A 7,111-nucleotide genomic window follows, 5' to 3' on the forward strand; every position below is an offset into this window, starting at 1 on the left:
TGGGTCAGCCACACGTGGCTGGAGTGTGTGTCCTATTTACGCACATCTCGCTGTGCTAGGCCCTCAGGATACAGCAAGGACATGAGGGACCCAGGTTGGCAGTCACAGAGATGACTTCCAGCCTAGTAGGACATTCCCATCCATCAACACAACAAAACCCATCAATTCTGGGAGGTGCAGGGCTGGCCAACCCAGGTGGAGAGAAGTTCCCCAGCAAGCTTCATCCGCAAGGCCATGTCTGTTCTCTCCTCTGCCCTCATACGAGCCCAGTGAGACTGGGCCTGTTCTTCATTTCTAGCTTACAGATGAGGAAACTGAGGCACAGGCTCATGCGTGGCTGACTGAGAGCCATCTATGTCCCAGGAGGACAGCTTCGCCTGAGAGGCTTCATGAGCAGATCTCGCTGCCATCCTTGAGCTGGTGGGCTTCCTAACACCCCACGCAAGAGGTCAGCAGCTGGGTGCGTCGCTCACTGTCTTAGGCATCTTTGCCATGAGTCACACTAATGTCCGCACGCTGCAAGTAGGAATTTTGTTTACAAGCAAGCTCTTCTCCATCCTGTGGATTCAAGGCCAAATGTGGAAAGTTGATATCGTCTGTTGTCTCCCCAGAGTTCAACGCTCTCGTGCAGACGGTCGACAAATCCTTCCTACTCAACTTCTTGCAGCAAGCTCGGGGAGAGGCGGGAGAGGGGAGTGTTTTCATTTGCAGAGGAGGAAATTTGGGAACAGGATGCTTCTTTAAGAAGTCGGGTTTCTAGAGAATGCTGTGAGGGCCCTGGATGTGAACTGACTTTTGAGATGCTGACCCCACACTGGCCAGTTAGCTCTGGGCCCTGGAGGGAAGCTGGTGGGGATGGGCTGACGGGACATCCTGAAAAACAAGCCATCTCCACTCTTGGTAGTTTAAAAATGTTTTAAGAAGTTAAGGTATTTCAACAATTCCTTTCTGAGTGATTGCCACTTAGTTCATTAACTTTTGCAAAATCCCACTTTGGGAGGCCAAGACAGGTGGGTCACTTGAGGTCTGGAGTTCGAAACCAGCCTGGCCAACATGATGAAGCTCTGTCTCTACTAAAAACAAAAACAAAAACAAAACACAAAAATTAGCCAGGTGTGGTGGCAGGCACCTGTAATCCCAGCTACTTGGGAGGTTGAGACAAGAATCACTTGAACCCAGTGGGGTGGAGGTTGCAGTGAGCCGAGATCACACCACTGCACTCCAGCCTGGGTGACAGAGTGAGACTCTGTCTCAGAAAAAATGTGCAAAATCCATCTGGGACACAACATTTTTGCTTGCCCTCGTAATGTCCAGAAGGCTGGAGATGATGACCCCTGGGTCCAAGCATCCTCAGGATCCGGTGGGTCCTAGAAATCCTGGGAAAATCTTCCTGAAAGGGCTTCACCGGGCAGCCACCCATGCCTGCCACAGGGACACTTTCTCTCCATAAAGAAGCAGCTGTGGGAATCAGGAAGAAATGACTCCTGTGCATGATTCAGACTCTCCATAATAGAAAGTTTTGCAACCCAATGACTCGGAAATGTTTAGAAATTCTAAAGAATAATCTATAATTAATGACTGTAATTTTAACAACCCAGTGGGCTGAGAGTGGGGTGTGGCAGTTTCTCAGTGGAAAATCTGGCTGCTTTTACTACAAGTAGGAGGAGAATGACAAATATCCTGGCCCCAGGGCACACCTGATCTCAGGCTTTCTCTTCAAGCACACCGTTCATTAATCTGTTAAAAGGCCTAGCTCATGGTAAGAAGCCCATTTAAACCAGCATTTCCCAAACTTATTTGACTTGACGTTTTGCCTTGCAGCGTGTCTGTGGATGAGAGGTGCCCACAAGCGTTCAGTCTTTTATCACAATCCGACTGGAACATCTTAGGAGTTGAGAAGAGTGTGTACATTATTTCTTTCCTATTTTCTTTGGGCTACCTTTCAGTCTGGATGGAGTCTGCCAGGGATGGGGATGGCTTCAGTCTCCTCTTTATATGTAACTAACTATTCCTAAACTTAGTGGTATAAAAAACGCTTTATTTTGTGGGTCAAAATTTAGACAGGGTACAGTGGTGTTGGCTTTTCTCTGCTCTGCAATGTCTGGAATGTTAGCTGGGAACAGCTGAGAGTGACTTGAAGTCCTGCAGATAGAACCACCTGGAAGCTTTTTCATTCACATGTCTGGTGCTTGGGCTGGAAGGAGGTGAGGCTGGGCACAGTTGGGATACCGATGAGAATATTGACTTTGGCCTCTCTATGGAGTTTGGGCTTCCTCACAATATGGCAGCGTCAGGGCAGTCCCGTGGACACAGGGGAAGCTGAATGGCTGTTTGTGACCCAGCCATCACTCAACTGGACAAACAAGCCCTCCTAGGTTCAAGAGGAATGGACAGAAACACCACCTCTTGAGGAAGAAGTGTCCAGGAATTTGCAGCCATGCTTTCAACCTGCCACGGGAGCCCCGAAGCCTCTCCTTTGCTGCAATCCCACCTGCCTTTTATCCCCCTGACCTCTCCTTGGGCATCCTGATTCCTTTCTGACCCTATTCCTTGAGTCCCAGGCAGATGGGCCTTTTCCTCACTTTGTCTTGGGAGTATGGCAGTGGACTCTGCCTACTTCATAATGGAGCCTTTTTCTTGTCCATTTTGATGACCTCTCAGAGCAGGGCTCTGACACGTTACTGGGTTACAAAGACCCCTCCCTGCCAGGGCCAGCGTGCAGCACAGTGTGCTTTTGAGTTCCGGTGAACGGGGTGCTCTGGCTGGAGCCTAGTGCGAAGTTTCCCCTTCTCCGCCCATTCCTCATCCCTCAGGGCACACAGGTCACCTTTCCTCGCCTTCTCGTCCCCACCTCTAAGGCTTGGCCAAAGTTTCTTCATAAAAGCAAGAAAGATAACGAAAGAGCCCCCCATGGGTTATGGTTTTTGTGGGGCCAGGAATGCCCAGTTTGAACCTCCAGTTCCGCCACCTGTAGCCGAGTGAAAGAGGCTGGGTTATTCAGACACCCCAAGCCTCAGTTTCCCCACTTGTTGTGAGGCTTGAGTGTGCTAACACATCAAGGCAACCCAGAACAGCGCTTGGCAGAGACTCGCAGTTTATCACTGTGAACTGTCGTTATTGGAAAGTGGGTGGAGTCGGGTTTGGATTCCCCCAGGAGCAGAGACAGAAACAAAAGGATTCAAGGTAAGCGGCCTGTATGGGAGGTGATCTCAGAAGTGCTGGGAGGGGAAGGGGACCTGTGGCTTTAATGGTGACCCTGTGCTACTGGAGGCCTGGGATCTCTGAGGAATGCTGAGGCCCAAGCCCTGCAGAGCCAGCCCCGGGTTGTTAATTACTTGGCACTTTCCTCTTGCCTTATGTGCAGGGGTGGGCTCAGGCGACTGAAGTCTCAGACACTGCTGCAGGTGCTGGCAGGGGGAGTCACAGCTGCATAAACTGGAATGGGGCAGGTGGGGTGGGGCGGGTAAGGGGTTGTGTTTGCTTCGGAGAGGGTTTGTCAGCACTTTGAAGGAAAATTTGTGTAGTGGCCGGAACCACAGATGACCCAGGGTTTGTGTTCCAGCCCAGGGATCATTAGCTGTGTGCGTCACTTAAACTTTCTGTTCCTCAGTTTCTTCATCTGTAAAAAAGGGGCAATAATGTTACCTATTGGGAGGATTAAATGACTTAATAAGTATGAGGGGCTTAGAACAGTGCCTGGCACGCAGTACATACTAAGAAAGTGGATTTGCACATATCATTAATGCCTCCCTCCCTTTCTTTCTTTCTTGTTTATTTATTATTAAATAGTTATAAGTATAAATAATTACAATAATTTATGTCAACGAACTATAGTGTCAACAATAACTATAGGTAATTATTTAATAATTAGTAATTATAAAATAATTGATACTAAATTAACTATAGAATTATATAGTGCCAGAGTTGTTTGGCTATCTTTAATTATACATGTAGTTATTTAATTTCACAAATAGTTATATGAATTATGGAAGTGAAGGTACGATGGTATAACTATACAATTATTAGATAACTTATCATAGTGGTATACATATTTATCATGCAGTTATTAAATAATTACAATGGAATGACTTATTCGCTCTCTGCGTTTGTGCAAGGGCAAGGATGGCCACGTCCCAGCTCTATCCAGCCCCTGGCCCAGTGCCTGGGGTTCGGTGGCGCTCAGTTCACGCTTGCAGAGCGAGCGGCGGTGAGTGGATGCGGTGGGGTCGGGCTGTGGTGGTAAAGGTGGCCGTGAACAGGAGGGGCCACTAGAGCACACAGACGTGAATGACATGGGGCTCCAGGAGGGGCAGGAAGAGCTACAGAAACAGCATCCCCAAAGCTGCCTGGCACGGAAGAGGTGCTGCAGAAATGGGACTTCCCTTCCCATCCTCTTCTCCTGATAAACAACTGAAAACATAAGAGCGAGATCTTGGGGCTTCTGTGAGGTTAAATGAACGAACAAAAGTCTTACAGCGGAAATCACTGAGAATCTCCCCTCCCCTGTCTTCCAAGGAGAACATGATTGTGAGCCTGCTCCTCCCTTCCTGGGGGGGTTGCTTCCTGCTGGGGAGAGGCTAAGTTGAACTCTAGGATCAAGAAAGGGAAGGAGGCAGAGAAAGGTGAGAAAGGTGAGAAAGATGAGAAGGTGCTCGCATGGAGCGTCCGGGCAGTACCAGGCTGGCCCGAAGGAGGTGCGGATGAGGGGGAAAGGCTGTTTACAGATGTGGTGGCTTCTCCGTGTGCATTCACCTCCTGGGTCTCAACTCGTGCAGATGGAGGGTCTGAGTTAATCTGAGGTTACATTTGTTTGCTCAGCTATGCTTTTTCAAGAGGCCATTCCTCTGAGACTGAGCCCCATGGCTCCTGGCTTTACATGAGTTACACGCATCTTCTTCTCCTTTTTTCTAAATAGTAAGGGGCAGAGAGAGTTAGAAATAAAAAGGAAAGCTGAAAACAAAAACCTCTCAGAAGAGACTCTGGCTGTTTTTTGTTTTTTTTTAATTTTTAAGTTTTTATTAATGCTCATCTTCCCTGAAGAGCCCTGGCTGTTTTCTTGACCAGCTTCTGGAGAGAAAAATCACAGTGCATTTGAGTAGCTCCAGATGTGATCTCCCCATTCAGCATTTCCCTTCCTGTAGCATCTGCCGAGCCTTCCTTCTGGCTTCTCTGCTCTCCGTGCCTGAAAGGAGACATTGAGCAATCCAGGCCAGTTCGAAATCCTGAGCCCAGAAATAAAGTGACTGTTGCTTTTGCGTCCTTGCACGTTTGCCCCGGCTCTCAGCAGAGGCAGAAGGTGATGTTTGGAGGAAGCAGATGGCCCGGTCTACTGTACATTTCAGAACATTTCAACTGCAAGGCTGGCTGGGGCTATTGCATCACTGAGCCCGATAGGGCTGCAGGGCAGAGGCAGGGATCCCTGTGGGTGGAACTGCTGGGTGGCAGGACGGGGTGGGGGAGCTGAGGGTGGTGTTTGGAGAGGAGGGGGAGAAGGGGGAGACAGTTTGGGGAACGTGCCTGAATTCCTACCCAGGTCCAGTGTGGGTTGATGCAAATGGTGCACACGGGCTGAGAGGTCAGCTAGATCTGGGTTCCGATCCCGACTCCTTACTGATGAGTTGTGTCCTTGGAAAATGACTTCTTCTCTTTGAATTTCAGTGTCCTTGACTATATACATGATGGATTCTTCCCACATCGCATGGATGTTGTGGGGATTCATTGTCCTGACCTCCTGGGGTGTTGGTGAGGATTAAATGAAATCATGATTTCGTTTGACATGCTTGGACAAGAGCCCCACACACTAGAAACCCTGGGTGTGTGTTAGCTGTTGGGAAGATTCTCCTGACCGTGATGATGGGAGAACTCGGCATAGCCCTGCGGGAGGAGTGTTGGTTCTCAACAACTGCGGCTGTTTGGGGGTTGTTGGCTTGTACTCCCTCTTTGTAGAGGCTCCTCGCTCCTGGCTCAGGGCTGCTCCCAGGTGCACTTTCGGTGGCAAGGCATTCAATTGTACACGCTGACTCAGGCGTGGTGAAAGCCAGCTGGCCCTCTGGACCCTGGCCTTGGTCCTCAGCCCTATTGGTTGTCCCCGCTGCCCGGGATTGGTTGGCCCACGGGGAGGGGCTCTCTGCCTAAGGATGGTCTCCCCAGCTCAGTGACAGAGGGATGCTTAAGCCACGCCACCACCTTCGTTCAACTGCCAGCATACCTGAGTGTTTGAGTCAGCCTCTCTCCCTGTGGCCCAGTGACATGGGCAGCAATGTGGGAGGCTGCCCAGTGGGTGGGGAGTCGATCAGACGGAGCGAAGAGATTTCTCGAAGGCCCTCTTCACCAGCGTAGCTTACGACAGTGCTGGAGCGCCTACCTGAGCAGACCACGCTCTAAGCTTGTTTTGCTGAACACCTTCCTATTGTCCCAGAATCCACCTGCTCTCCCAGGAAGACTGATCTCTTCCAGGGACCATAAGCAGCTTCCCCAACAGGTGCCCCAGCGGGAGACCAGAGGGAGGGAGGAGACAGGTCAGAGTGCCTACTCCCGTTTTCTCCCTGAGTCAACGTTGTTCCTCCTGAGGCACCGGCCCCCATACCGCCCTCCTCCTGGGCTCCAGCAGCCATGCTCTCTCCTGGCCCCCCTGGTCCCCTGCCTTTAGTGACAGCTTATCCTCGTTCCTGCTCTGTCTCCTTTGGTTCCCTTAGACCAGGTGTCAGCAAATCTGGCTTGCAGACCGAATCTGGCCACAGAGCTGCAACGACAGAATTCAGCGACTGCAGCAGAGGCCGTGCGGCCCCCCAGGCCGAAAATATTCACTATCTGCCTCTTTCCAGCTTTCCAGAGAAAGTCTGTGACCTCTGTGTGAGACCCACCCACACCCATGAGATTAGTCCCTTTGCAAATCCCTTCCTTGAATTAACCTGTGTTGAGTGTGCCAATGGCTGTCTGGGACCTACCCGGCACGCATTCTATTATCCTGACGTCCTCTTAGCCTGGCAACATTCTCGTTCTCTCCATTTTGCAGATGGGAAAGCGGAGGCACAGGGAGGCTAAATAACTTTGATGAGATTAGGCACACAATCAGTAGGGGGAGGTCAGTTCCAGAGTCAAAGGCAGGTGC

General features: G+C 50.4%; 1 annotated feature.

Moving 5' to 3' along the window:
* Positions 409-458: a silencer, noted in NCBI's record as "silent region_7829". NCBI's record gives its function as "represses an Ori minimal core promoter by ATAC-STARR-seq in GM12878 lymphoblastoid cells {active_cell/tissue: GM12878}" and the evidence as "EXISTENCE:reporter gene assay evidence [ECO:0000049][PMID:35858748]".

This window comes from Homo sapiens, chromosome 16 (assembly GCF_000001405.40).
Source record: "Homo sapiens chromosome 16, GRCh38.p14 Primary Assembly".
Classification (NCBI taxonomy): domain Eukaryota; kingdom Metazoa; phylum Chordata; class Mammalia; order Primates; family Hominidae; genus Homo; species Homo sapiens.